The sequence below is a fragment of the Homo sapiens genome, chromosome 8 (assembly GCF_000001405.40).
Source record: "Homo sapiens chromosome 8, GRCh38.p14 Primary Assembly".
Taxonomy (NCBI): Eukaryota; Metazoa; Chordata; class Mammalia; order Primates; family Hominidae; genus Homo; species Homo sapiens.
In genome coordinates, this window is record NC_000008.11 from 13,588,390 (window position 1) to 13,606,425 (window position 18,036).

Here is an 18,036-nt window from a genome sequence, read left to right on the forward strand (position 1 = left end):
AGGTGAATATATTCATTCCACAGTAGTTGAGAGCCAGAGAAAGAGAGCAGAGACCCGATAAAAACTTAGGAGGCAGCAGAATATTATCATTGCCATGCTCATCCAACACTGAATATAAATGAATTCCACTGCAAGAATTATAGCCTGGGGGTACAGCATGTTTAAAACTCCCAATTTTACTGGATAATACAGCAATAAAATTAAAGTATATTCCATAAAAGTGACAGAAAATAGTCTTAAATGAAAGTTCAAATAAAAATCTTGGTACAATTTACCTCTAACTTTTGGCTCAATATAAGACAATTCAGAAATTATGGCTACTTGACTATCTCAGCAGCTGTCTTCTCAAAGACTAAAGATATAGGCTTGGGATGCATGGTTAAGTGATATTTATTAGACTAGGAGAAGCATAGGGGCTGGGAGAGGTCATGGCTACTCTTCTGCTCTATGTTTATGGGAGTTCTTTTGTTTTGTAACAAAGCTCATAGTTTTGGGATAAGTGAGGAGGGAGAAGGTCACCTGTTTAACAAGCTACATTACCCCAAGGCAGTCAAATGGGTGACAGATGGAGTCAGATTGCCCTCACATTCCTATAAGAGAGATATTTTTCACAGTTCTGGACCATATCCATTCAACATAAAACAGAATATGATAATAATTATGGGTTGCTAGTGCACAGTGAGAAGTCAAATACCAAAGCCAGTTCTTGCCAAGTTTTTCTTTGTATTTTAACCACACGATCCATATTCTTCATTAGGCTATCCTTCATCTGTCCAAACAACAGGCTGTCGTCAGTTTATACAACTTAACCATTCTTAGCCCAGAGATGCTTATGTATGCTTTTTTAATGTTATAATAGAACTGAGATCTTTGTATTTTATATAATTGTTGAAAATGCTATTAGAAAAACAAAAAACAAAATAAAGTCTTTCTAAGAATGTTTGCAAAAACTAAAGGAACATTCACTGTTACAACAGCAAGGCACAATGAGTCTCCATTTCTCCTGAGAAAATTCTAGTAGACCTTTCTGACAGCTTTGAGATAGGCACTTTGTGGATAGATCACATGAGCCCTCTGAAAGTGACATTCAGGGGAAAGTTGGCTTGTGTTGAGTTCATTTTGCAACGCAGAATCCACTGAAAATTCAACTATGACATCATAGAGAATCATCTTTAATTTGCAATTATCTTATTTAATGACCTTGAGGATGTTTTTTCATGTTGCTTAGCTATTTACACATTTCTTATTTGGTGAATTGTTATGTTCATCCTTTCTGCCCAGTTCTATATAGAATGCTCTGTTTTTTTTTTTTCACAGATTTAGGAAGCTTTCATACACCAGTGGGAACAGTTATCTTTTTTCCAACAGAGATTGTGTAAATTTTTTTAATTTAAAGAATTTTAAAATATAAATGGTGAAAGGAGATATTTTAATAATCAAGAAAAAAGAAATACATACTCATCTAAATTCTAAAAATATATGTATAAACCTAGTGTTTTGGAAAAAAAAGGCAAAGAAACTGCACCAAATATGTTCACAGCTGCTATCTGTGTATTATAGTATTATTGTTCTTCTTAGTATGTCTTTGTTATTTTCAAAATTTCAACAGCGAACATGCATTATTTTAAAATGTTATGGAAAACTTACTAAAGTTTAGGAGAAACTCAACATGCATATATATATATATACAAACACATGCTTTTATTTTGTTTTATTTTCCCCTGAAGTTTATTTTCCTATGCATATATTTTTCCATATATGTTTGGATTGGCACCAATCCTATATTTACAGTATTAAGGACTTTTTTCATTTGTGGCCTCTCAACATCCTTGAATATCTTTCCAACATTCTGGTGATTTCCCACATTATGAGTCCTCCCTTTCTAAGGTAGAAGCCATAAAACCCACATCCCCAGTTTTTTTTTGCAGCTATTGTACAGATATATCACCTAGGTTTCACCAAGTGGAAACTTTGGAAGGAACATTGTATTTAGAAGTGAGCAGTGTGAGAAGGTGGTCATATATGCAGAAATCAATATTCTCATAATTACAGTCATGAAAACAGCTGGTTCTTTGGACACTTCAATGGTGGATATCCAGTTCTGAGCATCTTGGATGCTGAGAGGAAGACACCAGTGTTTTCTATAGAAAATCCCTCATAATATGCTTGGCCAATGGATTTTGTTGTTCAGCTCCAGAATTTTACTTTTCTAGCCTTCCAAAATACTCTGGGAGCTTCAAAATATTCTTTAGTAATAAAATAATCAGAGTGGGCTCTGTATTTGCATTGTCCAAAAATTTGCAGTTTATATTTGTTTTCTCTATTTCATTGTAGCAGTGATTTTAAATAGCTTCATGCCTAATTATGCCATTATTTAAAAGTTCTATAATTTATTTACTCCATGCAATTCATAGAATATTTAGTTTGTTTTCTATCAATGTAATTAAAAATGCTTCATTTACAACTTAAGCACAAATACAAATATGTTTACCTTTCTTTTTCTAAAAGCGATACTCTCAGAAAAGGAATGACAAAATCAAAATATTTTATATTTTTGCTTTTACAAATTTGGCCAATATTTTCTTCATTATAATTTCCAGGCAGCAATAACATGGAGGTACTTTCAATTGACATTGAACATAAGGAATGAAGGAAATTTATATGACATGAGATTAGAGAAAAAGAAACAGGTCACAGAGTGTGGGGTTTCTAAGTCATCGTGAGGAGGTGAATTTTTCCTCAAAGTGTGATGAGAAATTTTAGGGAGATATTAAAAATAGAATGGAAACAATCTTAAGTACTTTGAAAAATGATTATCACACTCATTTTTTATTGCAAGGAGGGTGATATGGTTTGGCTTTGTGTCCTCACCCAAACCTCATCTTGAATTGTAATCCCATAATCCCCACATATCATGGGAGGGACGCAGTGGGAGGTAATTAAATCATGGGGGCAGTTGCCCTCAAGATGTTCTTGTGATAGTGAGTGAGTTATCACGAGATCTGATGGTTTTACAAGCATCTGGCATTTCCCCTGCTGGCACGCCTTCTCTCTCCTGCCACCTTGTGAAGAAGAACATGTTTGCTTCCCCTTCCAACATGATTGTAAGTTTCCTGAGGCCTCCCTAGCCATGCAGAACCGTGAGTCAATTAAACCTCTTTTCTTCATAAATTACCCAGTCTTGGGTATTTCTTCATAGCAGCATGAGAACAGACTAATACAGGGGGATAAATATTAGGAGTGTTTTTTTTTCTTTAATCTAGGCAAACAATGATGTTGGCTTGGACTTATTGGTAACAGTAAAGTTAGAAATATTGGAAATATTTGGGATATATTTTAGAGGTAGAACTGACAGAATTCATGGATATGTCAGATATGAAATTTGAGAGAAAGTGGATCCACAGTGATAAATAGATTTTGACTTCAACAACTTGGAACAAATTGTATTGAAATACACTGAGATGGAGGAAATTAAACAAAGATTAGATGTAGGGAATGGAGAGAGAAACCTATGGTTTTTTTGACCTTGTCGAGTTCAGTGTACCTTGGATATTCTTGTGGAGTTTTAAAATCAGCACCTGGTTACAAGTATCTGGAGTTTGGAGGTTGCAATCAGATATGGATTCACTGACATGATTAAAGGCTTGGAACTGGGTAAGGTCCTAGGGAAAACCTGTGGATAGAGAAAGAGTTCAAACATAGGGCCCCAGGACAGTCCAGCGTTTAGAATTTAAAGAGAGCAAGGGGCCTGAGCAAGTAGAAGAAGAGCAGCTTTATTGGGCAAATGGTAAAGGTCTTATATTTATCAACTTTTAGAATGTCTTCTAGAAATTTTCGATTCAAGTATTCTGCCTCCTTCCCTTACATTTTCTAGTGAGATATTGGATTTTTTATTGAACTATAAGATCTTACCATACATCAGTGACATACCCTCTGTGTTATATTTAAATTTGTATTTTGTTTGTTTCGTTTATATTTTTATATTTGTCTTTTATTTGTTTTATTTATATTTTTATATTTCTCCCATTTTTTGTAGCAAACATATGGATCTTTTAATGTTCTATATAGCTTATTAACTTACTTTTTGCTTTACGTGTTCTTTTCCATCCAAAACCTAACATTGACCAATATATTTCTATTTTAGAAATTCCTTTTTTAAAAAACTTTAGCTCTTTAATTAATCCAAAACATATTTTGGTGACTGAGCAGCCATTTGTTGAAACTATAGAGTAAGTCTTGGATAGCTAATCTGGGGCCTGCCAAGGTTTCCCCAGTAAGAGGATTTCCAGTGTTTGGTATTATGAGTCCTGCCCTTAAGGAAGGCACTGGGAGCAGTGTTCAGCAGAGGACACTACTGCCCAAGCCAACAGTTTCTTTCTGGTGCAGTTTATAAAGCCCTAGGATTTTGTTTTGTTTTGTTTTGTGGCTAAGCAATGATTTGTCTCTGTTACACACATTTTGCCATGTTAGCGTCCCAATTATTCTATTTGATTCTATTACTTATAATTAATCCCAGAAATCTTACTGAGTCATGCTCTTCAAACAGGGTCACACCCTTATGTCCCTCTTTCCTTTTTTCTTCCAAATATTTCCAAGCCTAAGTGCAATTTCTCTGGTTTCTGTTTAAGGAGTTTAGCTTTGGCGTATGAATAAGATATTACAGTCTGAAGTAGCAAGGCTGTTCAAATTTCTTCTGAAGTTACACTGCAGTACTCCTCACCTCACCCCACCCAATCTATGTTCCAGTTGATAATTTTAATAAGAGCCATCACCCATTTTATTAGCAGCAGGCCAAGAGGTGTTGTGGAGAAGAAATCTAGCATCCCTAATTCCAAATGCATGGATCCTTTGGTTTCTTTATCAGCATACCAATTTTAGAAGTATCAGAGAAATTAACTGCTTCAGTTCTACTGGGAATATGTGCTAGCCATTGGTTTTGTCCAGCAAATATTTCCAGTTCTTCTGGGCACAAAGTAGGATTGCAATTCTTTGCTCCCCAGAAGCTGAGTGTAACCATTCAATTTGCACTGATCGGTGAAATGTTGAGTGGACGTTATATGTGTTACTTCTAGATGAAATCTTAAGATTCAATTCACGCTTCTCCAACTCTGACTCAGCAACCTGCCAGTTCTAGGTAACCTGGATGCCAAAGACAGGCTAATGTGAAAGAGTGAAGAGATGTGTTCCTTGAATAACAAAGAAACCTTTGTTGTATTGAGTCACTTAGCTTAAGAGATTGTTCATTATTAGAGTGCAATGGAACCCCGCCCGATTCATACAGAATTGGTACCTAAAAGTGGGTTACTATGAAAACAACCTTATTTGAAAACTTATTTTGAAGAGGAAAGACATATGGTTATTAGTTATACTCAGAAGTGAAACAATGAAAATTAATCAGGAAATTAGGAAATCAATTTCGCACATCCTTGAGGTGGTGTGGGCAAAGATTTCATCTATGTGGGTGTTCTCATGCTGGATGTATTGTTGAACATCAAGGTAAAATTAGAATACTGTGATAAAGCACAGGCCAAGAAAATGGAAAGAAACTGCTAATGCAAAGATCCTCTGAAGACGAGCCTGGGCAACTTAGTGAGACCCTGTCTCTACAAAAAAATAAAAAGTTATCTGGACATGGTGGTTCATGCCTGTGGTCCTAGCTAGTCAGGGGTCCTGAGGTGGGAGGATCGCTTGAGTCCAGGAAGTTGAGGCTGCAGTGAATCATGATCTTGTAACTGCACTCCAGCCTGGGCAACAGAGCGAGACCTGGTCTCAAAAGAAGGAAAAAAGATCCTCTTTTTATATGATAGTGATAAAACCTGAATAAGAATAAACAAATATAAGACTGTCTGATTCCAACAAACAGAAAACCTCATGACCTTTTGAAGTATAGGCCTTTTTATTGATTTTGCCTGAGACACTGACAGACCTTTCAATGCAGCCTACTTCGCTCTGTATCAGTTCAGAAGAGTTTTCTGTAAATGTTGTTTCTATGGCCATTGTTTTGATTGATTTTTGTGAGGCAACGTAATTCCTTGCTTCTGTTACTACTATCTATCCTCATTTTATTGGATTCTCCCACATTGCTTTCGTCTCTTTTCCTTCCTCTGCATTCTGAGAGAATACCACAAGTCTGGGCTTTGTATCAGTTCTTCGATTTTCTGCGTAAGTCTTCTCCTTCATGTCTGTAACCCTCATTTTAATTTTGCATTTTACATTTCTTTTCCTCCTAAACTTCTTGACTTTACTGTCTTTTCAAGACAATATCCTGAAAACCTTTTTTCTTTTTTAAAGTGAAAGCACATTTATTAGAGAAGTAAAGAAAGAAAAGAATGGCTACTTCACAGACAGCAACTGAACACCTTTAATACCCATATTTACAATATGGAGATTGTTGCAGAGGTTTTTTTTCAAGCAAGTTAGAAGAAATGATCTAATTTCAGGGTGCTTTTATTTTATTTTTAATTTTATGCAAGGCATGTATAAGTTACAATTTATTTCACCGTCCCTTTCAGGTTTTGGAGATTGTGGAAGTTGATGTTCAATGTGACTATTGATTGATTCTTAATCTTTGATTCCTATTTTCTTGTGAATTTCTATATATTTCTGTATAGACTTCTTCAATTGTTGTGAGAAAAAAAAAAGTGGACTAGCCTGGATCACACACCGCAGTTTTCTCTTCAGATCGCCAGAGAATCTGAATGTAATGACCAATGATCACTTGTGAAATTATAATAATTATTGTTTTACTACAGTCACAAGCATTAAGATTACTAAAAATAATGGCACCAATGGCCCTCACTCCTATTCCCAAATGAAAGGCACATTTAATTTTTTTTCCAACAAAAATCACAAGGATTTTTTTTAGAAAGACAGTAGTGTTTCAGATGTCAGGTGACAATTCTTCCCACTGTGGTATTATAAATGTGTTCATTTTCATGAAAATGTGTGAACTGTCTTACCAACATCAGTGAGTGTAGCATCTTTGCATGATGGAAATAATAGTTATGCAAACAGAAATTGTATATCTTTTAGTATTTAAAAGTGATTTTGTGTTCAGAATTTTGAATTAAAAAGAAATTTGACAATGTGCCCCACATGTGTTGCTTTGAATATTCTAGCCATTAATGAGATAAATACCAGATAAATGTTAAAATTTATCTTTAATCTTGAGTTCTTTATGATTAAGGGAAAAAGTGAGGAACATATGCTGAATATGTTGAACAGTTTCGACTCTTATTGAGTCTGGGTGAAAGATATGCTGGTAACTACTAGAGATACATATTTAAACATAAACATTCTCTCAAATAGACAAAGATTACTAATTGTGAAAATATGTATTTTTAACACAATGCCAAAAATTGCCTGGGGTTTATTGCATTGCATTATCTTAAAGAACATCTTTAAATAGAACAGTACATTATTTTTTCTTGTAGACTCACAAATGTTATCAACCTAAATAAAATGTTTCCAATAAATCTTGTAGGCAGCCTATGATAATTGCACGTTACCACATCAGAATTTTCATTTCTAAATATATCACACAAAAGCAATCTATACAAAATAACATATTAGGAAATCTCCTCCTTTCATACATGCAGTCCCCACAAACATATATACATATATCTTCTACACTTTCACATGATGAGTTAAATATTTCTATGAATTAAATAAGTTTTAAACTAAGTTTCAGTTGGATTTGTTCTTTTGAGATGAAAATGATAAGAGTGATGTAGAGAGAGTTAACATGCTAAATATATTAATCTCAATGGTATCACATCTTATAGTCAATTGTTGGGTGCCTGTCTTAGCACCAAATTTTGTTCTTTATAGAAAGATGTTAGGAACCTTTAAAAATGGCTTTCCATTTTATTATTATATTGCCTTCTGGAAGGAATTAATAGGTTGGCGAGGTTGGAGACAGTTTAAGGAGGGAAAAGTAGCTTTTCTTGGCAGAGCCCCTCAGTCCTGTGATTCTAAACATCTTGAAGAAACAGACTTCAGCCTCAAGTGTTTTATTTTAGGTTCTTCCATAGAGGGTCTATGGAACTTTTCCAATCCTGTTTGTGAATTTTGAAAATCAGATTCCTTAGAGGCCTTTCTTAAAGGTAACTGATGATTTCATGGAAAAGCTAGTTCTTTAACTCTTTAAGAAATTAGCAGAGTAACAATACTAGTTTTTTAAAGAGTGCTTGTGCTTTGAATGAGAGCATGTGAGCTTAGAAAGGAGGCAGAAAGGAGAATGGATATGCTTATTGAGATAAATTTGGGAGTCTTTCAAATGAAAGTTCTGTACTTTATAAATTTTCCTAGGAACCTTCAGCCTCCATCTAAAACCCTGGCATATGGGCCTAAAAATGATCACACATAAGACTTCACACAAATCTGGGTTGAGCTAAGAAGTTGGAGCTCAAGAAATTCTTCTTAGCAAAAACACTTGTCATAGTCAATGTCTTAATAATGTAAATTTTGGTAGAGGTAATTATTTTAGAATCATACAATTGTTCTATATTATTAAATGCCTGCGGAGTGTGGATCAGAATGCTTTCAGAACTCTGGAAGTTCTTGTGATGCAGATACACTCTTTTGTTTTTTCTATGTTCGTTTGTTTGAAGGAGAGATTGGCACTCTGACGTCATCCTGTTCCTCATTTAACATAATGCAGCAAGGACAAGTAAATTCATATTTTTCATCTCAATATGTCCACTTGGACTTTGACTGGCCATATATTTAATGCTATTACGTTTGCAGTTTAGGAGCCAAAATTCTTATCAAATTTATTGATATAATTCTAACATTCAGAATCAGAATGCCCACACTTAATTTGTAAAATAAATGAAAGATGGATAGATTTGTCAGCTTATATCTCACATTTTATTGCAACTGACATTGGACAATTTTGAAGCTAGAAGAATGACAGAAGACGTGATTAGGCCTTCCAAAGACGTGAACCGTATTGCTTCTCCCATTTCTTACAACAGTTTGCCATCTAATCTTTGTTCAGACTGCTACTTTGGCCACTTGAGTTAGTTCTAATAGCATGTTAAAATGCATATTAAAAAAATAGCCTGAAATACCATCTCGTTTCCTGAGCTATGTTTGTCAGCATAATAGTAACTCTGGGTGTTTTACCCTTTTGAGTTAAATTAAAGCTAGCAAGTCTTATTTTGTATAATCACAATAAGATAAAGATCATAGTGTGTTTTACATTGTAATGTGTGTGTATATATCATGGAGGATAAATGCTTAAATGGAATTATGGGATGCACACACATGGGAGGCACTGACCATAATAACAGATGACATTATGATACAGAAAATGTGTGTATATTTAATGAAGATGTTTTAATTTAAAGTCAGTATCTCACTATCTTGCTAACCCCTACTCAAAATACATTTCATAACTGCACAGAAGGACTGAGTAACAAACAAACTTATAGAAACATGCTGATCTATTTTTAATTTGAATTGCTACATGGAATATTTGCAATTGTATTATATATACAATAAGGGATCTATGCAACAACTAAATTTAGTCACCGCTTTATGGGATGCAGATGTGAATAATTTATTGGGATTGAAGATGTTTACACCGAAAATAAAATCGGTATCAAGAGTCTGATTACTAATTTTGCTCCGCCACTTGTAGTGGTCTGTCCTGTTTCTAAGTAAACGCCACTAGGCTTCAGTTTTCTCATCCAGCAGAGAAGTTTATTTTCTAGAGATTTTGAATTAATAGTACAAATCTTTACAAACAATTAAAATTATTAAAATGTAAAGTAAAAAAGATTTTTGAAGAGTATAAAAATAAAATGGGATATAAATAAAATTTCATCATCTCTTTCTTAATTTGTCTAATTTTTGTAAATATGTAAGAGTAGCATCTAGTGCTTGCTGCTAGCCAGAGGCTTCTCTAGGGTTGCCCTGTGCTGAGCAGCCTGGGACAGGGAGGAAACACAACAAGGGTGTCTCTACCTGTCTCTGTGGGGACCACTTAGACAAAAGCTGAGGCTTTGTCAGTTTCATTGTTTACACAGCCAACAAACATTTGCTTTGAGGAAAGAGTTTCTTGGTTAAATAGGATATAGGAGTGACTGATAAATGATTCTTTATGTCCCTTTTAGAATAACCTACTATTTTAGTAATCTATTACTCTTATGATCTTGAAAACATGGTAAAATTACCTCAAAAGAGTTACCATCCTTTGAAAGTTTTATTTCAATCCATAAGCTGATGAACACATTTACATTTGCATGCACTATTTTTTCTTACATAACTCAATATAATACTTACTATTATTGCATTACTACTTTTGTAACTTTGCTTTAATAATTAGTATTTAATTAATCAATTTATGCATTGGCCTTAGAATGTGACAAAGCAACTCCAAGTCAACTCCCTAGTACATATTGTTACACCAACTCTGCCTCATTCCATGAATGAACTAAAATTCTGAAAAATAATTTAAAACTTTTTTTTGGCTGTTGAGTCATGTTAAAATGTCAGAACTAATATTTTCATTATTCTAAATAAAAAAATGAAATTGTATATGTAATATACAATTTAAAATAACCTATAGTTATACTCTGAGAAAAATAATGGCATTAATTGTTTCTGTAACTTAAACATTTAACTAAGGTACCAAAGAAGAACGCAAAAGGAAGTAGCAGAAGTAAATTAATAAGATAAAATCTGAAAATTATGAATTATAAAACAAACTAGCATTCTGATTGAAAAAACGTCTGCTTATATGGGAAGACACAGAATAAAAATATACCCCTGACATGTGTGAATAAGACAAAGGGAAGAAAAAAACATGATTTTGGAATTTATAAAGCAAATATATTCACAATTATAGAAGGTACTAAGGAATTATAAAGATCATTATGCCAGCCTCATGTCAATAATGAACATTTGGATAAAATGCATGTGCCATAGAACAATAATAAATTATTAAAAATTATTTTGATAAAGAAAGAAAACCTGTACAAATCAATATCTATGGGACATTTTTAATGAATGATTTGTCATTAAAAAGGATGTTAGGATGAAGTGGTTCTTTCTAACATTTTTGTGTTAGTTAAAATATTCCAGATGAATAAAAAGACAGAGTGCCCTAATTTCTTTTGTAAGTTTATTACCAAATCCCAATGAAGAAGGCATGAACAAAGAACAAACCAAGAACCTAAATATCTAGAAATAAACTACGGAAGTTGAAGAAGTCATTTATGAAGAAAATTGTAAAACAATGAGAGATATTAACAAAGGTCTAAATAAATGGTCACATATACCTTGCATATGGATTGGAAGACTCAATATTGTAATGATGTCAACTCTATCCAAATGTATATATAAACCTCTCATTGGTGTGGAATGGACAAGTTGATTCTCAATAGGGAAATGCAAAGGTCCTTTAGTAGCCACAGCAATTCTTAAGAAAGAAAAAACATAAAAATTTTTATATGATAACTAACTAAAATGTATAGTTGAGAAGGGAAAAAAATCTCAAACTTACTATATATGTATCAGTCTGTATGAGGTATGGACCTATTGAACAGTATCATTCAGGTTTAGCATCTTCACCACCTTCACCATTATCAAATGAGCCTTGCCTGAAATCAGAAGCACTACTTTCTTTCGTTAGTTGGAGAAGTTGACATGAATGGAGGTATCTGAAGAACCCTAAACTGTGTCATTAGAAAGCAATAGGAAACATGGTCCCCTTCTTTTAGGAGTTGTACCAAAAATTCTGAGTATAAGGGGCCCCAAAGTATGTAATTCTCTATTATTTCTTTGTGAATCTTGATTTAAGCTAGTGCACTATGAAGAGACATACCTGTTTCTCAGATAGTCTTTTATTTAACTTATAAATTATCCCAAGGCATGGACTATATAGAATTCAACGATCAAAACTTTAAGTAAGAAGAGACCAGTTAATGAATTTCTGGGGGAAATAAGGACCTGAAGTAATTAAAATTTCTCAGTAAGGCTGTTATTTTAGTTATTTTCATTAAAAGAAATGTATGGTTATTCGTGTTATTTGGACCCCAGAAAATTAGCTACAACCGAAGAGTGTCCAAGGAAACTTTAAAATAATGCAACGTCAAAGACGTTTTGCATTTTCTGTCAGTTACTAGCACGGTTCTCCAGCAGTCATCTTCACCCAAATCACAATGTGGTACAGATGCAGTTGAAAAAAGAAAAAGTGGCAATGTAAAAATAGATCATTGCACTCCTGTACATGACTATTTTCTCTCTAATGAAAAGATTTTATTTTAGTTTGATGCCTTTCAAAATCTTGGTATTTGAAGAATTAATTTTTATTTAAAGTAAATCTTTTTTTTTAGCATTAAGCAATGGGATGTTCATGAACCTTATCTACAGTGAAATTCCTTCTCAGTTTTATTTTCAGAAATATACAAGTGTAGATTTATAAGCAAAACTGATCAGGGCATTTATTTGTATATATTTGCCTATTGGTAATGTACAGTCATTTACTACTTCAAATGGCATATACTTATTTTATATGTAGTATTCATTTTACCAAATCATGAGTATTTTCCCAATTTAATTTATATTTTATTATTTGTTTATTCAGTACTTCTTAACACATGCATATTCATTTATTTTGAGTCTCATAAACTTTTTAAAAATGGTTATCTACTTTGAGCCAATCTCGTAAAGTCATATAAAGCCCTCCTAAAGACACACCTTCGTCCCCATTAATATTATTTTAGGTGTGCAGTGTCAAGCAGTTCTAACATAATACTCAGTCTGCGGTGTCAAGGAGTTCTAATACAATAAGGCTCAGTCAGCTCACCAGTAAGTTAGCTTTTCTCTAGGTCTTGTCTGTGATATTTTAGTTTCCATAATCAGATTTCTGACTAGCTCTTGAGCTCAAATTCCAGTCTTCCAGTAAACAGATGCTATCTTATACTTCAGTGTATAGGGCCCTGTCTGAGAAAATTGTGATTTAAAGTAGTCTACTCATTTAGTCTCATAAATAATAGAACTTCTAAAGAAATGCCAGTGTTTCAGCATGCAAGCCATAGTTCCCGGATTGTTAGAGATGGGCCAAAAAGGATTTTTCAGACTATGTGCCTTATTTTTGATTTCTGGAAACATCATTGCTATCATAACACTACTATTCATTGGAAAGCACTTGTTAGAGTAATTAGACTTACAATATGAAGCTGGGATATGAGATGGTAACTTGGCTAACTTGTCAAAGAGTCCAGTAAAGAGCCAGGATAATAGACAAAAAAAAAACAAAACAAAACAACAACGACAACAAAAAAGGAAAACAGAAGAAAGGGGTTGGGGAACAACTGGAGTGTGCCTTTTCTAAAAAACCTGAGACAATTAATTTTTACTATATATAATTTCAAATTCTAGAAAATGCAATCATATATAACAACAACAACAACAGCAAAACACCCTTCTTTGGTGATTTTGCTGGCTATATAACCCAGATGCAATATTTATATTTCATTTTTGGTCATTTTTCCATAAGTTGTTTTAATGTGTCCACTATTTTTCAGAATTAATTCTATGCTTTCACATTTCCAATTAAAATATATGGCATTGAGCTCCAATGGCTACCAACGTCATAAAAAGGAAAACAACTACATATTAAGTGCCTCCTGATGGATGAACACAAGGCCAGCTATAAAGTACCCAGCCAAACATAAATCATGAATCTGAGCAATTCTCTAGCCTCAAATAGCAGTTTACAAAAACAGGGAAATCAGAGGAACATGTTAAACAATACCATGGTATTGCAATCAGCAAAATCCAGAAAGAAAAAGTGTATAAGACAAAAATTTAGGCTATTTTCAATGATGTGTGAAGGAAAAGAGATAGAAGAAGAACTTTTAGACTAAAAGAATCTCAAACAATCAATCAACTGCCATGTGTAGGCCTTATTTGGATGCTGATTTAAATAAATACCAAAAAAGACACATAGGAAACTGTAAGATGGTTATCCACTTACTATTTTTATGACATTAATGTTATTTATTTTTTAAACTGTGATCATTGCATTCCAGTAATTTAAAGAAGAGAGCTTACCTTTTGGAGATGTATACAATATCGATTTGTAAATACTAAAATATTTACAAATAAAATGACATGATGTCTAGGGTTTACATCAAAATACATGGAAATTAGGACAAGTTGAAGTGGCTGTATATGAAACAAGAATGACTCTATGTGTTAATTGTCAAAACAGTCCTGAGTACCTAGAAGTTCACTATACTGCTCTGTACATTTTTTGTATATGCTCAGAATTTTTATGTATCTTAAAAAGTTATGACAAGATAATTTTTCCCCAGTTGCTAAAACAAAACAAAATAAAACAACATAATTTTTTTCAAAATCATATTTCCCAGAGTTTTGGCTTTTTGTATTTTCCAATACTGTGAAGATTTTAAGGAAAAGAGTTTTTATCCCACGTTACTTAAAAAGAGTTTATTGAGATGAAAGTATCTTCAGATAATACATTTCTATTTGTCATCGGACAGTTTTCAACATGTAGTGATAAAATAATTGAATTTTTAAGGGAAAGGTCTTTGTGCTGGGTTGAAAACTTATTTTGGATGTCAGGTAATAAAATTCTTTAGGGATTTTACGTGGCAATAACTTAGATAACCCAACTGTTGATATGACAAAAATAATCAAGGTATAAATAAATTGTTCACAAACATGCTGTTTTGTTTAATAAAGTTTAGAATATTATCTTTTTCTTAAAATAAAAGAACTCTTAAGTCACACGGAATAATAATGCTGGCTTTTACTGTCATCCATTTCTATGTAGTGTTTCTAACATCGTGATGTTAGACATCATTAACTATGATTAATATCAGTTCATTCTGAGTATATTCTAACATAATATTCATTATGTTAACATCATCATTCATTACGAGTCTTGGTAATATTAAAATGGTAATTCTTACACACAATTCACTGATATAGACAGAGTTTGATTAATGGGAGTCACTGATTTTTTACTTTAATTTTTTTTTAGAATTTCCTAGCTGGTATGGAAACTGAAGTCCTTGAATCAACAGAAATGTAATCATATTAAAATTAGGGTATTGTAAGATTAATTTTGTGCCAATATTACCTTCCTTGCAAACTCTGGTAACATATTCAATATAACAAAAAAGGTGCATGTTAAATTTTAATTACTTTTACTAAAATGTCTTCGCTCTCTACATCATAGTGGCAATTTAAATCTCCCCAGTATAAACGTTCAAGACCCTTGCCCTGTTAGGAACCAACTAACTGAGTAAATGCAAGTGATTTTAAATTAAAGATGACTGTGCAATTACTTTAGGGAAGAAAAAATTAGCTTATCCATTAGTGTTATAGGTTGCTGTAAGGAAAGCCATGGTATCTGTTCATTCAATTAACTCCCAACCTCAAAGGCAACCGATCATTTCATTTGTAACCTTGTTGATTAAGCGGCTCTGAATTTTTAAAAAGCTATGCCTTTGAGAATATAAGCTTGGTAATATATTTCTCTTGGACTGCGTGAGTCTGTTTGGTACATTAGCTAATTGTCAGAAAAGGTAAATGGTGTACTTAATAGGTTTTGATCAAACTCTATGAAAAAGCTTATAAGAAAAATATAAAAATATTTTTTTCTAATCAACATAACTGTAAACATACATAAAATTATTCCAAAGTGCAATGATAATGTTATGATATGCTGAAATTATTCAATAAAATAGTAGAGGTAGAAACAAAAGTAAAATTGAAAACTCCAACACATTATCATCTCCTTTAAATTTAACAAATATTTTCACTTTGAACTATGTAGCAGAAATCATCTCTCCAAAAAATTATGTGACAGAGGATTACAATGATCAATTATTGTTAATATGTCATATTTCCATGAGAAAGCATTACACATTTTTGGATGAATATAGTTTCAATCAATGTCAGACAGTGACACTGAGCATCTCAACTTCTTTTATGTGTATTTAGTCACAGACATTTTTCTTTCCTTCTATAACTTCATTTCATGAATAAAATATGTGACAATATTTTTAGAAAGACTTTAACATGCAAACTACTAACATAATAATGCACATAGTATATTGTTATATATGATACAAAGTATAAAGTAGAAGGAAAAGAGTTTTACCTGGTTAATCACATGTGTTATTCCAAAGCAGAGTAGAGCAGATGAACTCACTGCCAATGTGTTGTCTGATAATCATGAGTGAGCTCAGCAGCAATTTCAAGGGGTGGGACTTGTCCTCAGTAATGAATTCCCAAGGGACTATTTCCAATCAGAGAATGCAATTCCAGACAATGAAACCATTCTCCATTTGTTGACCCCAGTTTTGTGTTTACAATCAGCTGTGGGTGTATTCATGCCTCATGGAAGGAATTGCCATATATTTCACTGAGGTTTATGGTATGAAGAATATTTTGAAACAAGGATTACATGAAAACAAGACTGATCTTTAATTGCTTTGAAGTTTTTCCACAATGTATTTTTTGCCTTTTAATTTTTTCCCCGATTGGGATGAAAATCGGAAAAAGGCTTAACTGTAAGCAGTTCAGTCCCCTACCTCATGAAACAGGGAAGTCTTCTGAAGGAAGATGGATAACGGAGCCTCTGCCTTGGAAATTTGGATGATGGGAGTGGAGCTCACTATTTTGGGAGCCACTTTATTGAACGCGGGACAGACGGTGTTACCTATTAGACATCTCTTTATCTTATGGTTATCCCTGCATTGTATTTTCCCCCAAATTGTATATAAACTCGTATATCTCATCTCTGTATTACAAATCAGTTAGTTTTGTTTGATTATCTGTCTAAAACATACATTTTCCAGAAGGATATTTTTCCTCTAAACACTTCTCCTAACTTGTTTGGACACATTCCTCACTCAATTCTGTCCATCTGTGTTAAGTGTATAACTGGAATACAACAACTTTGCACCACTATGAACACCGCTGCCGTAGCATAACAGATCTGCAGCTCATCCTCCTAATCAACCTCCCGTCCTTTTCACCACTGCCCTGTAGTCCCTACTACATAAGGCAGCCTCGCTGATTCTATGAAAACACGAGTCAACTAATGTCATTCTTCCACTCTTCCAGTAAGATCCATCCTAAGAGTGATCTCAAAAATCCCCTAATAACCTAATGCAGAATTATAATTCCCTACCATAGCCGGCCCCTCACCCCAGCTCTCTAACTTTAATTAACACTTACTTTTCCTCCCTCCTCTTACCTCCACACTCTCTGTACTCCAGGTACATGGGACCTCCTGCCATTCCTCAAGGTTGTCCAGTGCATGCCTCCCTCAGAAAGTGGGACCTGCTGATTACTCTCCTGAAATACTCTTTTGGGAGTAAATTTCTCTGTGTTTAGATCTCCATTCAAATGTCAGTTCAACTGTGAGATCTTCACTGACTACCTGTAGAAATAACAGACGTCCTCTTTACCACACTCTCCTTACTTTGCTTTATGTTGTTACAACATTTATTTATTTAAGTGTTTATTTGCTTACTATTTATCTCACCAATAGTATGGAAACTCCATGAGAAAGGATACTTTATTTGCTGATTTACCTTAACGCCCAGGACAGGGCTTTGTGATGAATAGGTATTCAATAAATATTTTTTAAATTAATGACTAATTAAGCTTAAGCTTTAGTTTTCTTCCCCATTTTATAGACTATTCTAACCAACAGAATCTAATGAAATTGAAGTAACAGTCCATCTGAGGGAAAGAAGTATCAGTCCAATATAATGGAAAAGAAGTATCAGTCCAATCTAATGGAAAAGAAGTGTCCGTCTATCTAATGGATAGAAGTATCAGTCTAACTAATGGATAGAAGTATCTATTAATGGAGTAGAAGTATTAGTCTATCTAATGGAAGGAAGTATCAGACTATCTAATGGAGTAGAATTATCAGTCCAATCTAATGGAAAAGAAGTATCAGTCTATTCTAACAATGTCTTATTGACTGCATTAATTAGCATAATTAATTTTAAATCCTAAAGCTTGAAGACCTCT

The 18,036-nt window shown here is 33.4% G+C and overlaps 1 protein-coding gene across 2 annotated transcripts in view; it reads right to left on the reverse strand.

Moving 5' to 3' along the window:
* Positions 1-16,231, reverse strand: part of DLC1 (DLC1 Rho GTPase activating protein) — a 521,260-nt gene extending 505,029 nt beyond the window's left edge. For both annotated transcript variants that reach the window (NM_001348082.2, NM_001348081.2), the window contains exon 1: positions 16,148-16,231. The gene's annotated coding sequence lies outside the window, so the exon portion shown is untranslated. The remainder of the gene's footprint in view (positions 1-16,147) is intronic.